Consider the following 21269-nt stretch of genomic DNA (forward strand, 5'->3'; position numbering starts at 1 on the left):
TCTATGTGAATGCTCATCCTCAAAAAGTGATGGCACTGTAGGGTAACCAAGAGAATCACTTAAGGTGTAATTCTTTCGAGGTTTAGACAGGGTCTCACTCGGTCATCCAGGCTGGAGTGCAGTGGCATGATCTTAGCTCACTGCACCCTCACCCTCCTGAGTAGCTGGGACTACAGGTGCATGCTACCATGTCCAGCTAATGTTTATATTTTTTTAGTAGAGATGGGGTTTCACCATGTTGGGCAAGCTGGTCTCAAACTCCTGACCTCAAGTGATTTGCCTGCCTTGGCCTCCCAAAGTGCTTACAGTCATGAGCCACCGTGCTGGCTTGTAATTCTTTTTTTTTTTTTTTTTTTTTTTTTTTTTGAGACAGAGTCTTGTTCTGTCGCCCAGGCTGGAGTGCAGTGGCATGATCTTGGCTCACTGCAACCTCCGCCTCCCAGGTTCAAGCAATTCTCCTGCCTCAGCCTCCCAAATAGCTGGTGCCAGAAACAGTCAGTTCCTCTTCAAACTTCTTTGTTTCTTTTAGCGACTAATGTCATTTCACATTGCTAGAAGATACATTCTTGTTCTCTAAACAAGCCTTTCCATCTTTGCCATGCCTAAACATGCCCAAACATGCCTTAACGGACAATCCCTCCCTCCCCTCCTTTCTTTTCTTTACAAGTTACGCATTTAGGCTGGGCACAGTGGCTCACGCTTGTAATCCCAGCACTTTGGGAGGCCAAGGCGGGTGGATCATGAGGTCAGGAGATTGAGACCATCCTGGCTAACACAGTGAAACCCTGTCTCTACTAAAAACACAAAAAATTAGCCGGGCATGGTGGTGGGCACCTGTAGTCCCAGCTACTTGGGAGGCTGAGGCAGGAGAATGGCGTGAACCCAGGAGGTGGAGGTTGCAGTGACCCAAGATCGCGCCACTGCACTCCAGCCTGGGCAACAGAGACAGTCTCAAAAAAAACAAAAAACAAAACAAAAAAAAAACAACAAGTTACGCATTTAAATGTTTCAGTTTACTCTGTTTGGAAAAGTTTTACCACTCCTACCCCTTCTTCCCCATCTACCCTATTTGGAAAAATTTCAAGTTTTAGCCAATCGGGTTAGCTTACATTGTGTGGTCCGACTACAGCCAATGGGGAAAGGACACAGAAACAGAAGCTGCATTAGGGATAAAAACTTTTCTCCTTTGTTCAGTGTGCTCTTGCGATCATGACTGTTGCAGGCAGCACCCTTCTCAGAAGTAAATTTGCCTTGCTGAGAAGTCTTTTGAGAGCTCATTTTCTTTGCAACTCCGAGCTCTTATTTCCAACTATTTGGGGGCTCATCTGGCATCCCATTCTCCTCTAGGGAAGGGTCTCTGATCACCTCTCATGAGGAGATGCGTCCTGCTGCCTCATTGCAATGGCCTCAGGAATAAGGAATCAAGACCCACCTGGTGTGACGAATAAACCTGGACTCTCAGCAATGAAGGAAGAAAAGTCCTACAAATACTGTGGCGACCAGGTAACTCCTCTGCACACACCAAGGTAAGAAAAGCTGCGGGGGCGGTGAAGTACTTCTTTGGTGGTCAGGACATCCTGGAGGTTGAAAGTGTGTGAATAAGATGCACAGTTGAGTGCAAAGCAAGTGTGCAGTCCGGATCTGTGGTTCCACGGTCACCTCATATGGCTTAGGGCAGCTTTCCTGTCATGAGGCTTATACCGACCCGCCAATGCTAAGAGGGACCCAAATTCCCATAAGGGAAGTGGCCGGAGAAGGATGAAACAAAAGTAGGGGAGTGCAAGAAACCTCCAGTGGCAGGGGAGGGGTTGAACCTTCAGGGAAAAGGGGGCAAGAAATCTCTCATAAAAGAGGTTGAGCCACACAGACTCAGGAAACTCAGGGAAACACCTAAAACTTCCAGAATGGGAAATACCTCAAGCAGGACAGGAAATAAGAAGGATAAGACAGACAATAAAATTCCCTCTGATAGCCCTCTAGGTCTCATGTTAACATACTGGAAGGATAATGAAAGGACCAAACACAAGAAAAAGCAACAAACGATAAAATATTGCTGTTTTATTTGGACCAAAAAACCTATCCTCAAACCTTCAGTCTTTTGGCCAAAAGTTTCGATCTAGTGAGGATTGGATTTGTCAGCTTTTAATAGGGTATGTCAATAACAAAAGTCCTGTCTCCCAGGAGGAAATAGACTATGCCCTGTGTTGGTGGTGGGGGCCTGTCCTCTGTTCCCTAAAGGATACGGGGGACAAGCCAGAAGCTACTTCTTCTCAAGAAATTAATATCCCTCATCCCAAAAAGTCAACCAACACGTGGGACCCCTTAGACCACCTTCCCCCACCAAACACCACTAACTTCCCTCCCCCTCCAGTAGCTGCAACTGCCCCAGACCCTTCCCCAGCTCACTTTGTTTCTTCCCCTTATAATCCTGACTTGGGGTCTCCCTAGCCTGAATGCCCTTCCCCAGGAAGACTTCAACGTGAGATAGAACAGTGTAAAAAAGATATCCAAAACTTTCCTTTCCCCACTACCTCGAGAATCTGCTCCAACGATCTTTCCCTTAAGGGAAGTGCTTCTAGGAGGAGGGGGCATTTGTTTTGTGAACGCCCTGTTAACCAGTTCAGAAGTCCGAAGCCTAAAAAGGGCTCAAACCACTCTTAGACAATCCCTATGGAGTAGCAGATCAAATTGATCAATTTCTAGGACCCCAGTTGTATACTTGGACTGAGTTAATGTCCATCCTAGGCATCCTCTTTTCGGGAGAGGAAAGAAGCATGATCTGCACTATGACGGTTTGGGAACGTGAACACCCCCTCAGTCATAACGTCCTTGCAGCTAAACAAAAGTTCCCAGCCCAAGATCCTCAATGAGATAACAATGTAGCCCATTGAGGGAATATGAGAGATCTTAGAGATAGGATAATTAAAGGGATTCGGGAATCAGTTCCTCGAACTCAAAATATACCAAAGCTTTTAATATACAACAGGGAAAGGATAAAGGACCTACGGAATTCTTAGAGAGGCTTAAAGAGCAAAGGAGGAAATATGCTGGCCTAGAATTAGAAAACCCCCTTGGATGAGGAATGTTAGAGCTCCGTTTTGTCACCAGATATTACAAAGAAATTACGAAAGATAGAAAATTGGAAAGACCATCCCATAGAAGAGCTTTTAAAGAGAATGAAAATGTATATGTACGGAGGGATGAGGAAAGGCAAAAGCAAAAGGCAGAGAATTGGCTTTGAATGGATTGAAGGTATCATATCCCTACCTGTGTCAGAAACAAAACAAGAGCTCAGAAAATTTTTGAGATTGGTTGGATACTGTTGCCAATGAATTGACTCTTATGCCTTAGAAACAAAACCTTTGTATGAAAGACTCACCCAAGAAGAGCCAGACCCCCTTCTCTGAACTCTAGCAGAAATCAAACAAGTAGAAAAGTTAAAACATTTACTAGTGACTGACCCTGTTCTAGCTTTACCCTCCCTAGAACAGCCATTCCATCTTTTTGTCAGTATTAAGCAAAGGAGTGGCTTTAGGGGTACTCACCCAAGAGCATGGGGGCCACTGGCAGCAACAGCCTTGCTCAGGGAGGAAAGCAGAAAATTAACCTCTGGGGGAAAACTCATTGTTAGCACACCTCACGAAGTCAGAACTATCCTCAACCAAAAGGCAGAAAGGTGGCTCGCTGACTCAAGAATTTTAAAATATGAAGCTATCCTGCTAGAGAGAGATGACCTGACACTAACCACTGACAATTCTCTAAATCCAGCTGCTTTTCTAACCAGGAATCCAAACCAAAAGGTAACAGGGAACCCACAACCAATGGAACCTGAGCATAAATATTTAGACCTAATTAGTTACCAAACCAAAGTTAAGACTAGACTTATGTGAAACTCCTTTTCAAACAGGGAAACATCTTTTTGTAGATGGTTCCTCCCAGGTAATAGAAGGAAAAAGGGATTACAGATACTCTGTAGTTGACAGAGATACCCTCACAGAAATAGAATCAGGAAGATTACTCAATGACTGGTCCGCACAGACGTGCGAGCTAATTGCTCTAAATCAAGCCTTAAAATTTTTACAAAATCGGGAGGGAACAATTTATACTGACTCCAAATATGCCTTTGGAGTAGTATATACCTTTGGAAAAATCTGGACTGAATGAGGCCTTACTAACAGTAAAGGTCAAAACCTAGTCCATAAGGCCGGGTGTGGTGGCTTGTGCCTGTAATCCCAGCACTTTGGGAGGCCGAGGCAGATGGATCACAAGGTCAGGAGATCAAGACCATCCTGGCTAACACGGTGAAACCCCGTCTCCACTAAAAATACAAAAATTAGCCAGGCGTGGTGGCGGGTGCCTGTAGTCCCAGCTACTCGGGAGGCTGAGGCAGGAGAATGGCGTGAACCCGGGAGGTGGAGCTTGCAGTTAGCCGAGATCACACCACTGTACTCCAGCCTGGGCAACAGAGTGAGACTCCGTCTCTAAAAAAAAAAAAAAAAAAAACCTAGTTCACAAAGAGTTAATAATACAAGTATTAGATAATCTCCAGCTTCCTGAGGAAATAGCTATTGTTCATGTCCCAGGACACCAAAAAAAACCCTCTCCTTTGAAAGTCGGAGAAATAATCTAGCCAACCAAATAGCCAAACAGGCTGCCTCTTCCCAAGCTACACCCATTTTTCATTTAACCCCTCATCTTCCCCCTTCCACTGCACTTCCCATCTTCCCCCACGCAGACCAGGAAAAACTAAAGAAATTAGGAGCTGAGGAAAACTCAGAAGGAAAATGGGTATTACCAGATGGAAGAGAAATGTTATCCAAGCCTCTTATGAGGGAAATACTGTCACAACTTCATCAAGGATCTCATTGGGGTCCTCAAGCTACGTGTGATGCAGTCCTTAGAGTCTATGAATACACAGGAATATACACCCTCACTAAGCAAGCAGTGGATGGTTGCATAGCGTGCAGAAAGACTAATAAGCAAACCCTAAAGAGGCAACCTCCTGGAGGAAGGAACCCACGGTCAAGGCCATTCTGAAGTGTCCAGGCTGACTATACTGAAATGCCCCCAATAGACCACCTCAAGTATTTGCTAGTAATAGTAAAATACCTCACCCACTGGGTAGATGCCATCCCCTTCCCAAGCACAACAGCCAGTAATGTGGTCAAAGCCCTGTTAGAACACATCATACCCAGGTTTGGACTAATAGAAAACATTGATTCAGACAATGGGACCCACTTCACTGCATACATCATTAAAGGACTAACCTAGGCATTAGAAATAAAATGGGAATATCATATTCTCTGGCATCTGTCCTCATCAGGGAAAGCAGAAAGAATGAATCAAACTTTAAAAAATCACCTAACCAAGTTAATCCTGGAAACTCGGTTACCATGAACAAAATGTCTTCCCATTGCCTTACTCAAAATCCGGACTGCCCCTTGAAAGGACCTTGGCCTGTCCCCTTATGAAATGCTCTATGGGTTGCCTTACCTAAATTCCACTACTGACCTTTCTACATTTGAAATGAAAAATCAGTTTCTCAAAATCTATGTATTTGGTCTGTCTTCCACCCTTTCCTCCCTCAGGATTCAAGGCCTCCTAGCGCAAACACCACCTCTCAAATTCCCAGTCCACCAACATCAACCCAGAGATCACATCCTTGTCAAAATCTGGAAAGAGGGAAAGCTTGAGCCCACCTGAGAAGAACCTTACCTAGTGCTCCTAACAACTGAGCAGTCCGAACTGCTGAAAAGGGGTGGATCCATTATACCCAAGTCAGAAAGGCACTGCCCTCTCCAAAGCCATGGACCGTCGTCCCAGGGCCAACTCTCACCAGAGTAACATTAAAGAGAAAAGCCTAATCTGTCTTTTTTTCCTCTTCTCTTTCCCTTAGCTGCCTCTCGTCTTATTATTAACTTAACTAGGTCAAGCTCACCCCAAATCCAAAGCATTACTTTCAATGCTTGTCTTGCCATGCCCCGAGGGAATCTCCAAAGTCAGAGACAGCTAGCCTCCTAGAAAAGCTCTGCCCATCCACCCCTTCCAAACCCAGCACCACCTATAACCTTTGCAATCAACAACCATGAGCCTTCCAGGGGTTATGATATAGTTGGGGAGCTGTTATCTGGACTACCAAATATCAGGGCTGGACCTCCTCAGAAGGCTGCACCACCCTAAAATCCTACCTCCACTTCACCATAGGAATCACCCCCTCAAATTGCCAAATCCACCAGTGCAACCCAGTACTTCTCTCTATTCTTATCCCCACCTCCACTGACCCTAACCCCACTTGTCTTTATGGCCTAGGAATGGATGTCACTGGAAAAGACCCCATAGGCTCCTCTAAAATATCTTTCATTGGCTGGGCGTGGCGGCTCACACCTGTAATCCCAGCACTTTGGGAGGCCGAGGCAGGCGGATCACAAGGTCAAGAGATTGAGACCAACCTGGCCACCGTGGTGAAACCCCATCTCTACTAAAAATACAAAAATTAGCTGGGCATGGTGGCACATGCCTGTAGTCCCAGCTACTCGGTAGGCTGAGGCAGGAGAATCACTTGAACTTGGGAGGCGGAGGTTACAGTGAGCTGAGATCGTGCCACTGCACTCCAGCATGGCGACAGAGACTCTGCCTCAAACAAACAACAACAAAACAAAAATAAAAACAAAAAAAGTTTTGTTAACCCTTCTCCGTCTCCTACCAACTCACCTCCCCCACGCCCACCAAATCAAACCATTTTTCGTTTCTTACCTAATAATAAAAAAATAGCCATAGTAGAAGTCATGGACCTAAAGCAAACCTTAGCCATAGAAACCAGATATCAAGATGTTAATGCCTGGCTGGAATGGATTAAATATTCCATTCACACCCTAAATAAAAGCGATTGTTACCCTTGTGCAACAGGTAAGCCAGAAACCCAAATTGTTCCCTTTCCACTCGGATGGACCTCCAACCAACAGGGCTTGAGCTGTATGGTAGCTCTCTTCCAAAACCCCACAGCCCGGGGGAATAAGGCATGCTAAACTCTCGCTGCTATTTCTGGAAGTTAAAGGCCCTGTAGGTCAGCCCGAGGGCCTCCGATTAACAATGTAAATTTTACGTGTCTCACGACAGGGGGAAAATTTGGCATTCCTTGGAAGCCTAATGGGATGTAGTGAGTCCAAGCCTTTTCAGGAGCTAACCAATAAGTCTGCCCTTGTTCATCCCTGAGCATCTGGATTTATGGTGGTATTGTGGTGGGCCACTATTGGGTACTCTGCCAAGTAACTGGAGGGACACTTGCACTCTAATCCAATTGGCCATCCCTTTCACCCTGGCATTTCACCAACCAAACAAAAAGAACAATTGTTAAGAGAAGTCCCCCTTACATGTCCTTTGACCCTCACATTTATATAGATGCCATTGGAGTTCCATGAGGGGTGCCAAATGAGTTTAAAACCCAAAATCAAATACCTGCAGGATTTGAATCTATATTGCTCTCATGGGTAACTGCAAACAAAAATGTAGACTGGATAAATTACATTAACTATAATCAACAATGGTTTGCTAATTATACTAGGGATTCCATTAAAGGAATAGCTGAACAATTAGGCCCTACCAGCCTAATGGCCTGGGAAATTGAATAGCCCTGGACATGGTATTAGCTGAGAAGGGTGGGGTCCATATCATGATTGGAGTCTAATGGTGTACTTTTATCCCCAACAACACAGCCCCGGATGGAACAATTACAAAAGCCCTAGCAAATGAATTGGCCAAAAATTCTGGAGTAAATGACCCCTTCTCTAATCTCATGGAAAAATGGTTTGGCAAATGGAAGGGACTCATAACCTCAATCTTTACCCCCCTTGCAATTGTTATAGGTGTACTTATTCTTGTAGGTTGCTGCATTATACCCTGTATTCATGGATTAGTGCAAAGACTCATAGAAAAAGCTCTCACCAAAACCCCTCTTGCTTCTCCCCCACCCTACTCAGATAAGCTCCTATTCCTGAGTGACTAAGAGGAACAATAAAGTCAAGATATGTTAAGGAGACTTGACGAGGAAGAACTACCAAGTCAAGAGGGGGAAATTTGCCAAACCATCAGTTCCTCTTCAAACTTCCTTGTTCCTTTTAGCAACTAATGTCCTTTCACATTGCTAGAAAGGATAAATTCTTGTTCTCTAAACAAGACTTTCCATCTTTGCTGTGCCTAAACATGCCCAAATATGCCTTAATGGACAATCCCTCCCTCCCAACCTTTCTTTACAAGTTACGTGTTTAAAGGTTTCAGTTTACCCTATTTGGAAAAGTTTTACCACTCCTACCCCTTCTTCCCTGTCTACCCTATTTGGAAAAATTTCAAGTTTTAGCCAATCAGGTTAGCTTAAATTGTGTGGTCCGACTCCAGCCAATGGGAAAAGGATACAGAAACAGAAGCTGCATTAGGGATAAAAACCTTTCTCTCCTTTGTTCAGTGTGCTCTTGTGATTGTGACTGGTGCAGGCAGCAGCACCCTTCTGCGGACGTAAATTTGCCTTGCTGAGAAGTCTTTTGTTTGAGTGCTCATTTTCTTTGTGACTCTGAGCTCTTATTTCCAACACTGGGATTACAGACATGTGCCACCATGCCCAGCTAATTTTTGTATTTTTAGTAGAGATGGGTTTTCTCCATATTGGCCAGGCTGGTTTCGAACTCCTGACCTCAGGTGATCCGCCTGCCTTGGCCTCCCAAAGTGCTAGGATTACAGGTGTGAGCCACTGTGCCTGGCCATAATTCATTTTAAAAAGTTTATTCATTACTTATAGAGATGGGAGCTTGCTATGTTGCACAGGCTGGCCCTGAACTCCTGGCCTCAAGCAATCCTCCCACCTCAACCTCCACAGTATCCAGAGTACAGGCGTGCACCATAGCACCAGGCAACTGAGTGCAATTCAGCCCCTCCATATATACTGCCAAATGTTGGTCTCAAATATATACTGCCTCCATATATACTGCCCAGCTGGTCTCAAACTCCTGTCCTCAAGTGATTCACTTGCCTTGGTTTCCCAAAGTGTTGGGATTACAAGCATGAGCTACCATGCCTGGACTCAAATAGATAATCTTGTTCTTACCAAAGCAGTAACTGAGGAGTGTGCAGGACTCCTCCACCCACAGGTGATGCTTCTGACAGATCACAAAGGAATTTAGAATTCTAGTTTAACAATATCACTCTTTACTCAAGTGGAAGGGAGTATATATTTTTTCCACCTCTGTAAGTAAAGTTCATTTTAGCAGTTGGTAGAACTGGTGTCCTACCAACTAGGCTAGGTTTTCTACCTAGCCATGCCTATTTATGTCTTTGCAATCAAGAAAGATTCTCCATCCCTGGTAACAAAGCATCGTCTTCCTAAAGTTCACTTCACTGTATGAAGAACTGTGAGGATCTAAATTCTACAGTATTTCCCTTTGTGAGTTTATTAAACTCTAATGCTAGGCACATACACGTCTTTGAAAACTGCCTCAAACTTTCTCCTTCCTGGGACTTCCTGTAAATGAATTTCATTCTCACTGTCCCAACAGCTCCAATCCTAGGAATTAATTGAAAAATAAACTACAAACGTGAGCAGAAAAGCCTTCACAATGAATCCTAGAGAAAACAGTTCAATTATCTGAAAGGAGTGTTCCTTCCTACACCCATGCCAGACTCTGATTTTCCCATGCTAGCAACTGTGACATTACAGAAACATCTGTTCCTGACACTGTTCAACTGTTTAAATAACCAAGGAGGAGAAAAAAAAGATTTATAATTAAATAGTATTTAGGGTCCCAATAGTCAGAGTCCAATAATCCAAAGGTCATCTATGCAAAATTAGGAATATGCATTTTTCTCCAAAGAGTATCTTTGGCTTTAATCTGATTCTCAAAAGGATCCTATGATCCAAGAAAGTTTAAGAACCATTGAAACAGTAATTTATTCCTGAGCTATTTGACTGCCATCAATCCATTTGTTATAAAACTGAAGGGAAAACACACATTTGAATCACTTCTTCTAAAGCTTTAGTAAGTGATCTGTTCAAATAAGCAATTACATGAAAGAATAAAACCAAATTTCCAACCTAAAATTCTGACAGGAGAGTCAACATGATGGTTAAGGCCTATTTCATATTCAAACTTCAGTCTATGAAAGAGTAGAGAGAGAAGGGTCTCCTCTTTCAAATTAAATATTATAAAAACAATTAAAAAAAGGTATCAATAGTCCTAAAATGCAGCAACTCCATCTCAAACAAGCATGACACACTTCTGATCAGATGAAGTATTTACAAAGGTAGCTTGTGTTTTAAGCATGTAACACTTTGGGTGACGACAGAAGTTTCTCCTCTTTGGGTGAAACCTGCCTAAGGCTGTAGAGATGACCAACACTCTGCAGGTGTTAGTTCTGAATAACTACTGTGGGCTTTTCATGATCTTCCCTCCAGTAGGAGACCACAATTGAGTCTAAAGTCAGATCCACCGTTGTCTATGGGTAGGCAGGGTTGATTCAAACTTAATCCTTGTTTGTATTCTTTTGGATTACTGCAAAAACATCTAGGGACCAGAGTGAATGTCTGGTGAGGCATAACTGCAGAGGTGAAAGATGTCAAACATTTTCAATTTGGCAGTTTCTTCAAGGTGTGTGAAAATTCACATACAGAAGGTCTGGCAGTGTCTTCTGTAAGTTTTCGTGTTGCCGTATTTCTGAAGGAGCTCTTGGGCCTGCTGCTGCATTTCCTGGGCCAGACAGCCAGGAAAGTGGGACCTGATGAGAAGCAGGACGAGGCAGCACTCCAGCACATCTGGGAAGGGCCAGGCCTGAAAGACGATGACATGAGGATGAATAAGGAAGCATTTGCAGAAGAGCCACAAACACCTGCACAGAAGGCACCAGTCACTCAGGTTCATCTATAGACACTTCTTGGACACAGCTGAGCCAGCTGTCTCCTAAGGCAATGTCCTGTCTTTCTCTTCAACAGTTACTCCAAGGAGAAATGACACTCAAAACTAGGATGGCTACTGCGATGTCCTTCTCAATGGCACAATCTCTTTCTACAGCCCTATGCAAATCCACCCTTAAAAATGGTGCTTCTATTAATATTTGGGCCCACAGCCAAAAAGACCTGTCCATCTGTAAGCTATCTAATACATGGCACCAATTTAAATTTTACTTCTTACCTATTAAATCTATTTGGTTTCTCTGAAGATTGAGGTATAAAATTACTTGTGTGATCGATAATTCTAGTCTCACAAAACATTCTAGCTAACCAAAGTAATTGGATTCTAAATTCTTTTTTTTTGTTTTGTTTTTTTTTTGAGACAGAGTCTCGCTCTGTTGCCCAGGCTGGAGTGCAGTGGCGTGATCTTGGCTCACTGCAAGCTCCGCCTCCTGAGTTCACGCCATTCTCCTGCCTCCATGCTATTCTCCTGCCTCAGCCTCCCGAGTAACTGGGACTACAGGCACCTGCCCCCACGCCCGGCTAATATTTTGTATTTTTAGTAGAGACGGGGTTTCACCATGTTAGCCAGGATGGTCTTGATCTCCTGACCTCATGATCCGCCAGCCTCAGCCTCCCAAAGCGCTGGGATTACAGGCGTGAGCCACCACGCCCAGCCTGGATTCTAAATTCTTAAGCACATATGAATGGGTAGAGATTTTAGAAACTGAACAGAGAGGTAGCTGACCTTTATAAGAATGTGGTATAGTCAAGTGATAACACAAAAAGTGATGCTTTACCAAATGAACTGCTTTAACTCTTACCTTAATGCTCTCAGGAAATTTCGCCATTCTCTGATTTGCCTCGGTAAGCCTTTTGGTTAACTCAGGCAGAGAAAGTGGCTCATTTTTTTCTTCTTTACTAGTGAAAAAAATAAAAGGTGTAAATTGTATGTCTTGCCCTGGGTAACATTTTTCTCCCATTGTTATTTTACTGTGGTAAAATGTATATAACATAAAGCTTACCATCTTAGCCATTTAAAAATACATAGTTCAGTGATTTTAAATAAATTCATAATGTGGTGAAAAACATCCCCACCACCCATTTCCAAAAACTCTTGTCATTTTGTAAAACTGAAATCTTATACCCATTAAACATTAACTTCTCATTCTGCTTCCCTTAGCCCCTGTCAACATTATTCTACTTTCTGTCTCTATAAATTTAACTATTTTGAGTAGTTCATATAAGTGGAGTCATATAGTATATGTCTTTTTGTGACTGGCTTATTTCACTCAGCATGATGTCCTCCCTTCGTAAGGCTGAATGACATTCCATTGTATGGATATGGCACATTTTGCTTATCCATTCATCTGTCAGTGGATACTTAGGTTGCTCCCGTGTTTTGGGTATTATGAATAATGCTGCCATGAACACAGGTGTGCACATATTTCAGACCCTGCTTTCAATTCTTTTGGGTGTATACCCAGATGTGGAAGTGCTGGATCCTATGGTCATTCTATTTTACATTTCTGGAGGAAGTGCTGCTGTACTGTTTTCCACAGTGGCTGCATCATTTTACATTCCCACCAATAGGCACAAGGGTTCCAATGTCTCTGCATCCTCCTCAACACTTGTTCTGTTTCTCTGATAGTAGCCTAATGGCTATGAAGTGCTGCTTCACTGTAGTTTTGATTTGCATTTCCCCAATGATGAGATGTTGAGCATCATTTCCTGTGCTTACTGGCTTTTTAGAGAAATGTCTATTCAAGTCCTTTGCCCATCCTTGAATTGGATTATCTTTTGTTATGCCTGGGTAGCTTTTACCTTTTATTTTTAATATTTTTTAAAAATTTAAACTTTTGCCTATGACACAGCCCTCAGGAGGCCCTGAGAGCATATGCCCCTGCCTGGGTTACTTTTATCTCATTTTATAAATAAAATTCCTTTGTCACCTGGCTTCTTAAAATTTAATTTTTTTTTTTTTTTTTTGTAGAGACAGGGTCTGTCAACCAGGCTGGTATGAGTGGCATGATCGTATCTCACTACAGCCTCGAACTCCTGGGCTTAAGTGATCCTCCCACCTCAGCCTCCTGAGTAGCTGGGACTACAAGTGCATGCCACCACTACTGGCTAATTTAAAAAAATTAATTTTTCTAGAGACAGGGTCTCAATATGTAGCCCAGGCTGAACTTGAGCTCCTGGCCTCAAGTGATCCTCCTGCCTCAGCCTCCTAAGTAGCTACAGGGTACATGCCACCACACCTGGTTACTTTATTTGTATTTTTTGAGATGAAGTCTCCCTCTGTTGCCCAGGCTGGAGTGCACTGGTGCGATTTTGACTCACTGCAACCTCTGCTGCCCAGGTTCAAACGATTCTCTGGCCTCAGCCCCCCAAGTAGCTGGAATTACAGGCATGTGCCACCATACCCAGCTAATTTTTAGTAGAGACGGGGTTTCACCATGTTGGCCAGGCTGGTCTCAAACTCCTTACTTCAAGTGATCTGCCCACCTCGGCCTCCCAAAGTGCTGGGATTACAAGCGTGATCCACTGTGCCCGGGCTTTTTTTTTTTTTTTTTTTTTGTAGAGACAGGGTCTCGCTTTTTTGCCCGGGCTGGTGGTGAACTCCTGGGCCAAGTGATCCTCCTGCTTCAGCCTCCCAAAGTGCTGGGATTATAGGCATGAACCACTGTTCCTAGCCAGCAGGGTCATTTTTCATTCCGTCTTGTACTTGCCTCAGTACTTACCACTGGCTCTGAGAACTGCAGAGGGGCTGCTCTGCTTCTACTTCCGGTTCATTCTTATCAGGACCATTTGCTGTGGATTTACAGAGTTGACTCTTTTGGTGTTGTCGGATCATTTCTGCCAAGGTCTCTTGGACTTCAGCAACAGTTCTCTGTGAGTTTTGGAGACTGGCATGCTTTTCTGAAAAGAGCTCCTTAAAAGTACTCAGCATTCGCTCACCTTCTTCTGTGAGTCTCAAGTCTAGTTCTGAAGGCCTGTTTGGCTCTGGCTGAGAAGTTTCAGGGTCCGTTTCTTCAGTGCTGGCAGTGTCTAACTGCTGGCTTGGCTCAACAGAGAGTGTTCTGTGACCAGCCCTTACCCAGACACTGGAATTTGGGCAAGGTCTGGAGAGAGACCACCAGAATTCATACAGACGCCCATAAAGAAAAAAGGCCTCCAAACTTTTGAAAGCTGGTGTGGCAGGGGATTGATGGTCCCCCAACTTGTCTCTTAGGTGGTCACAGCCTAGGAAAAGAGGAAAAAGATACTGGGTCATGCATTTCTCTAGTTGCCAGAAATGTGGCTTCCTGCCCTTATGTTCTATTTCTTATCAACCAAGAAGCAGACCCCAGGAAAAAGGACAACAGTGTGATCCACCGGGCCACATGCCTTTCCACCAAGAGCCAACTGGAGGCTAAACATTTCCTGGCTTGCGACAGTGTTCTCATTACTACATCCTAGGAGTCATTCAAAGCATGATAGAGTATTCCATTTGTACTACTGAAGGCTCTGGGGCCACGACAACAGATCACACTGTCTCTCTGAAAAATCACAATGATTTAGTTCAGTGACTGACTATGCAGCCCAAGGAATGTCTATCTTTTTTGCTGTTCTTTTCTGTTCTTACTAACATGTAACTACATTCCTATTTCTCTCTCCCTTAAACTTTGTGGAAAGTGGACAGGAGGCTGTAAGAGGGTAGGGCCAGGTAAAGGAAACAGTATAGTTGTTCTTAAAAGCTTCGGTAAGAGAATCCAAACTTTCTACTAAAATGACACAGCTGGCCAATCTCCATCTTTTAAGAATCTAGGTACTCCCAGTGCCACACCACTAATGGTGGTGATGTTGTCCATTAAAGGGTGTGCCTCAGGCAGCAGGAAGTCACTTACCGTCAGGGAGAAAGGCTGAGTACACTTCCTGCATGATGGTGAAGCTCCCTGAGTCATAGCTCCGGACCACCGCCCGAAGGAGCGCCTGCACAGCCTCGTCCCAGGAGGCCATCTGTTGGCTCAGCACTGCCAGGGTCAAGTCATGGCAAATGTGAAGCAGGAGCTGGAGAGAGAAGCCAGAGTCTGAGTTAAACATCCTCCCACGGTAGGCGCAGAGGATGCCACCAAACTGTTCCTGTGAACCGCATTTGGAAACAAGTACACACAATTCACACTTTGAAAGTTCCTCTTGTCTCCGCCACCCATTTTTGCTTCCCACATCGGAAACTCTCATGTCTAGTTGCACAGCAGCACACACACGTCCCGGTGTTAAAGTCTGTTCACACTGAGAAAACACCTTTACATTTGCATTTAATTAAAACAAAAAGTGGGCCAGGCGCGGTGGCTCATGCCTGTAATCCCAGCACTTTGGGAGGCCAAGGTGGGCAGATCACAAGGTCAGGAGTTCAAGACCAGCCTGGCCAACATGGTGAAACCCCGCCTCTACTAAAAACACAAAAATTAGCCAGGCATGATGGCGCGTGCCTGTAGTCCCAGCTACTCGGGAGGCTGAGACAGAAGAATTGCTTGAACCCGGAAGGTGGAGGTTGTGGTGAGCTGAGATTGCGCCACTGCACTCCAGTCTGAGCATGAGAGTGAGACTCCCTCTCAAAACAAACAAACAAACAACAAAAACAAAAAGTGAGTTTCTGGAACTAAAAGCTGTAATTAAAAACAAAATAAAGGCTGGGTGCAGTTGCTCACACCTATAACCCCATCACTTTGGGAGGCTGAGGCGGGCGGATCACCCGAGGTGAAAGCCCGTCTCTAAAAAAAAAAAAAAAAAAAAAAAAATTAGCCGGGCTTGGTGGTGCACGCCTGTAATCCCAGCTACTTGGGAGGCTGAGGCGGAAGAATTGCTTGAACCCGAGAGGCGGAGGTTGCAGTAAGCCACTACACCCGAGCCTGGGTGACAGAGTGAGACGCTGTCTCAAAAAAAAAAAATCAAAACCCACCAAAAACAAAACAAAACAAAGCTTGGAGTACAACTAAGAAAAATGTGCTCAATTTTAAGTATGTAGTTTGAGAAACATATATAGTTACAACACTACCAGCAAAATCAAGACAGAACATTTTCATCAACTGAAGATATGCCCTCCGGCTCCTCTGCAGGCGATCTCCTGGCCCCACCCCACTGGCAACCACTGAACTGGTTGTCACTTTAATTTTTTCTTTTCTAGAATTCATATAAATGGAACCACAGAGTATATAGTCTTTTGTGTCTTTAAAGCTTTTGAGATTCACCGATATTCTTCTTCTTCTTCTTTGTTTTTTTGAGATGGAGTCTTGCTCTGTCGCCCAGGCTGGAGTGCAGTGGCACGATCTCGGCTCACTGTAAGCTTGGCCTCCTGGGTTCACACCATTCTCTTGCCTCAGCCTCCAGAGTGGCTGGGACTACAGGAGCCCGCCACCACGCGCGGCTAACACCGATATTATTTGTGTGGCAGTAATTTGTTCCTTTTTACTTTCTTTTTTTGAGACAGGGTCTCATTCTCTTACCCAGGCTGTAGTGCAGTGGTTCCATCTTGGCTCACTGCAGCCTCCGTCTCCCAGATTTGAATGATTCTCCTGCCTTAGCCACCCTAGTACCTGGGATTACAGGCTTGTGCTACCACACCCGGCTAATTTTTGTATTTTTACTAGAGACAGGTTTTTGCCATGTTGCCCAGGCTGGTCTCAAACTCCTGAGCTCAAGCGATCCACCCGCGTTGGCCTCCCAAAGTGCTGGGATTACAGGTGTGAGCCACCAAGACTGGCCCTTTTTATTGTTAAACAGTATAGTATTTCACTGCATAGACACAACACAGTTTGCATATCCATTCATCAGTTGATGGACATTTGGGTTGTTTCTAGTTTTTGGCTACTGTGCACTAAGCTGCTGTAAACATTTGTGTACAAGTCTTTGTGTGGCCATCTGATTTCATTGTTTTAGTGGAATATCTAGGTAGCAGAACTGCTGAGACATGGGGCATGTGCATGTTTAACTTTATAAGAAACTGCCTGGCCAGGCGTGATGGCTCACACTTGTAATCACAGCACTTTGGGAGGCCGAGGCAGGTGGATCACATGAGGTCAGAAGTTCAAGACCAGCCTGGCCAACATGGTGAAACCCTGTCTCTACTAAAAATCTGAAAAATAGGCTGGCTGCAGTGGCTCATGCCTATAATCCCAGCACTTTGGGAGGCCGAAGTGGGCAAATCACGAGGTCAGGAGTTCGAGACCAGCCTGGCCAACATGGTGAAACCCCTGTCTCTACTAAAAATACAAAAAATTAGCCGGGCATGGTGGCAGGTGCCTGTAATCCCAGCTACCCGGGAGGCTGAGGCAAGAGAATTGCTTGAACCTGGGAGGCGGAGATTGCAGTGAGCCAAGATCATGCCACTGTACTCCAGCCCGGGTGACAGAGTGAGACTCCATCTAAAAAAAAAAAAAAAGTAAAAATATTAGCTGGGCGTGGTGGCACATGCCTGTAATCCCAGCTACTTGGAAGGCTGAGGCAGGAGAATTGCTTGAACCTGGGAGGCGGAGGTTGCAGTGAGCAGATATCATGCCACTGTACTCCAGCCTGAGCAACAAGAGTGAAATTCCGCCTCAAAAAGAAAGAAAAGAAAAGGAAAAAAGAAAAGAAAAAAAGAAACTGTCCAATTGTTTTTCAAAGTATATACCATTTGAGAAGCCTTGTTCCTCATAAATATCATAATGTTCCCTCATTTTGAAATGAGGGAAAGAACTACGCCAGGCACAGTGGCTCATGCCTGTAATCCCAGTACTTTGGGAGGCTGAGGCGGGAGGATCACTTGAGGAATTCGAGACCAGCCTGGGTAACAGTGAGACCCAGTCTCCAGAAAGGAAAAAAAAAAAAAAAAAGAAGTAGGTATATTCACAAGGCAGACATAGCAGTTAAAATAAATCAACTGATCTCTTTTTATCAACATGGATAGATTTTACAAACAATGGCCTCTGAAATAAGCAAACAGCAAAACAATACATGTGGCACTGACACAGGAGGTGCCTGTGGCGAGCTAGGGAAGGAGTGAAGGGCTGAGGAAAGGAACAAGAAGGACTTCAACTTTGCCCTACTGTTTTTATTTTATAAAGTCCTCAAATCAAAATACAAAATGAAACCAGAAAACCCTACAAAGTAAAAATGACAAAATGTGAACATCTGTTAATTCTGGTTGATGGGTTATTACATTATTCTGCTTTTCTATATTTTCTAGACTTTTTATTTTACTTTTTTAGAAAAGGAAATAGTGGCTGGGCGTGGTGGCGCACGCCTGTAATCACAGCTCTTAGGAGTCTGAGGCGGGAGAATCACTTGAATCTGGGAGGTGGCGGCTGCAGTGAGCCAAGATCATGCCACTGCACTCCAGCTTCAAACAACTAAAAAAAACAAAACAAAAAAGGGAATACTGATCTAATACTAACTTTAAAGTTAAAGGGCTTTGATTAGTCTAAAGGGATCTTTCCAGGTGGCGTGGCCATGCCTTAGCCTTTTCTGAAACACAGTCCAGTATTCTGCTTGTTTCCCCGTTACAATAGACATGGATTAAGGAAGTCTTACCACTGAGTGATTAATGTCAAATGCTGGTACAGATGGCTTACCTGTTTGGCAGGTGTGTTATTTGTAGCAGATGGGTACTTGATGTTCTGCAGCTTCTGAAAGGCTTCCTGATACTGCTCAGGGGTGTCAAGGCTGAAGATGCTCTTCCACACTGCAGTCACCCTCTCCACGAAAGGCCCTTCGGTGCCCGTGTTCCAAGTGTGGTAAGAGGAGGAGCTTTTGCCCTCTGAAAGCTGCTTTTCCTCCAGATGCCTGGACAGTAGCTCCAGAAGGCAAAACACCAATCTCTGACCCTGGAACACGACAACAAGGAAGAGGAACTGTTATACAGGGAAAGCACTGGATGATCTCGAGAGCTCTCCCGTGTCCTTCAAAGTATTTCCCTTTGTATCTGCAGCAACCAAAGCACATTAGTGAGCTACCTGCCCCATATGAGTCATGCATGAAAAGAGACAAAAGGGGCGATCTGACAGACACTTCCCAGGTCCCTTTTGGGGGAAATCTATCCTTAGAGCTCAAGAAACCATTTTTATAACACAGAATCCCAACTGTAGCACTACCCACAATGATTTAAGCCACACACAGACCAGCCACTTAAGCCTTGTAGCCTAGTTTGAGGAAAAGAAGGGCTGGGCTCATCAGGTTCTTTCTCCCTGACCAAACTTTGGACTCAGGAATAAAAGCATAATGGGCCAAAGGTGCTGGAATAGACAAGCTTTGCAGATCCAAGAGCTGGGACAGGCATTAGGAGCCATGTCCAAATAGGTTTAATAGAGGAAGCTGGCTGGGAGAGAAGAAAACAGAAGCACAGAGAAGGCCTAGAAAATCTACTTTCACTAGATTTTTAGTTGCCATGAGATTCCTTGTGTACTCCTATAACAATATCTTCTCAGTTAAGCTTGCAAGAGTCTCTGTTGCACAAAACCAAAATAGCCCTTATCAGAATATTTAGCATATGCTTATTAGGTTTTTTTGCTTTGTTAAGGATGCTGTTTAAGAGAAAAATAAAATGCTAAACAGTCATTCTGGAAACTTTTTTTGATGGTGGATAAATTAAAATCTTTCTAGACTTGGTCATTTTATAAATAATGCCCAGTGGCATTATCTTTTAGGGTGTCCTATTTTCACCTCCATTTTTATTCTGCTGTTCCTAGAAAGCTACCTCCCCATGTACCACGTTCCTTGGGCTCTAAATATTCAGCTAAAAACCATCTGTAGGCCCTGTACTCTGTTAGAGAATGAAGAACTTAAAAAACCTCTTGTTAGTATCTCACAAAGTTATCTAAAGTGAATCAAATGTTTACATGTTTCAGAAACTAGGTAAGTGTGCCAATGCTTTAATCTGTTTTGATGTGTCAAAAAGGCAGTGGTATGTTACTGATTTTTAATCAGATGGGAACAAAAAAATTTAAGAAATAAAGAGATTTCCATTTTCCCACACTTTTCTCTTTTTTTTCTGAAGAGTCTCACTCTGTCACGTAGGCTGCAGTGCAGTGACACAATCTTGGTTCATTGCAACCTCTGCCTCCTGGGTTCAAGCAATTCTCCTGCCTTAGCCTCTCAAGTAGCCAAATTACAGATGTGTGCCACCATGCCTGGCTAATTTTTTTATTTTTAGTAGAGACAAGATTTCGCCATGTTGGCCAGGCTGGTCTTGAACTCCTAATCTCAAGCGATCTGCTGCATCTGGCCCAGTTTTTTTTCCATAGCTTACAGTTAAGAGGGGCATTTACAGGTAGAGTTCCATGATTTCTGTTAGAGGCCAACCATTCTCTCTTCAAGGAAGACAGTGCTGATAACATCAATGAAGAAACCCTAGACTGCCAACCCAAGGCCTGGGCTGACTAAGGTGTTTTTTTTTGTGTTTTTTTTTTTTTTTTTGAGACAGAGTCCCACTATGTTGCCCAGGCTGGATCTTGGCTCGCTGCAACCTCCGCCTTCCGGGTTCAAGTGATTCTCCTGCCTCAGCCTCCCAAGTAAGCTAGGATTACAGAAGCGTGCCACCACGCTCGGCTAATTTTTGTATTTTTAGTTGAAACGGGGTTTCACCATGTTGTCCAGGCTTGTCTCAAACTCCTGACCTCAAGTGATCTGCCTGCCTCGGCCTCCCAAAGTGCTGGGATTACAGGCATGAGCCACTGTGCCCGGCTCACAGGTGTTTTGTACAAACAGATAAGCAATGGGAATTACTGTGAATGACCATATTATCTCTTACTCTGAATACGGCAACTAACAAGTCATAGTACTTCAGTGGGATAGCATGGCCAGGGCTTGCTGGGCCTGCCAAATTGGCACAGCTTGTGCAACTGGGTTATTAACTTGGATTTGACTAGAAAAGGATTTGGGACACTTCCCTCTTGTATACTAGGAGATGAAATAACAGACTGACCTGTAGACTTTCATGCAGCTGCAGGGCTTCCTGGGCTCCCACCCAGTTGTTGGCCAGAAGCAGCTCTTGGGCACATCTGAGAGCCAGGGAAGCAGACAACTCATCCTCTCCTACGATGGCAGCCAACTCTGCAGCCGTTCTAAGTGATGCCGCATCCCCCTTTTTGGCCAAAACTTTGGCTGCATCATAAGCACAAGTGGCCCCTAAATAGCTATAATATGAATAAAAATGTGAAGAAAATGTCACAAACAGATTTTTATTCCCATTCCTAGAGGATGGAATCATTTCTTTCTATCTACTTTGCTGCATGTGCCTTCCTGTGGTCCCAGGTATGTCACTGCCCCGGTTGTTCCTGTGAAGGCTGAGGCCAACACAACTCAGCAGAGTGTATGAGAA

General features: G+C 44.2%; 1 protein-coding gene and 1 long non-coding RNA gene across 3 annotated transcripts in view; one reads left to right on the forward strand and one right to left on the reverse strand.

Moving 5' to 3' along the window:
- The first annotated feature begins 1192 nt into the window (after positions 1-1192).
- Positions 1193-5864, forward strand: LOC124901119 (uncharacterized). The gene is made up of 2 exons (XR_007059011.1): positions 1193-1526; positions 5589-5864. It is a non-coding gene; the product is annotated as an uncharacterized LOC124901119 (long non-coding RNA).
- Positions 9845-21269, reverse strand: part of GEMIN5 (gem nuclear organelle associated protein 5) — a 50801-nt gene continuing 39376 nt past the window's right edge. For both annotated transcript variants that reach the window (NM_001252156.2, NM_015465.5), the window contains exons 23-28: positions 20874-21084; positions 18526-18777; positions 14821-14983; positions 13675-14176; positions 11755-11851; positions 9845-10811 (exon numbers count right to left, since the gene is read on the reverse strand). In NM_001252156.2, the coding sequence (NP_001239085.1) occupies positions 10644-10811; positions 11755-11851; positions 13675-14176; positions 14821-14983; positions 18526-18777; positions 20874-21084 (1393 nt within the window). In that variant the 3' untranslated portion in view covers positions 9845-10643. The remainder of the gene's footprint in view (positions 10812-11754; positions 11852-13674; positions 14177-14820; positions 14984-18525; positions 18778-20873; positions 21085-21269) is intronic.

The sequence above is a fragment of the Homo sapiens genome, chromosome 5 (genome assembly GCF_000001405.40).
Source record: "Homo sapiens chromosome 5, GRCh38.p14 Primary Assembly".
Lineage (NCBI taxonomy): Eukaryota > Metazoa > Chordata > Mammalia > Primates > Hominidae > Homo > Homo sapiens.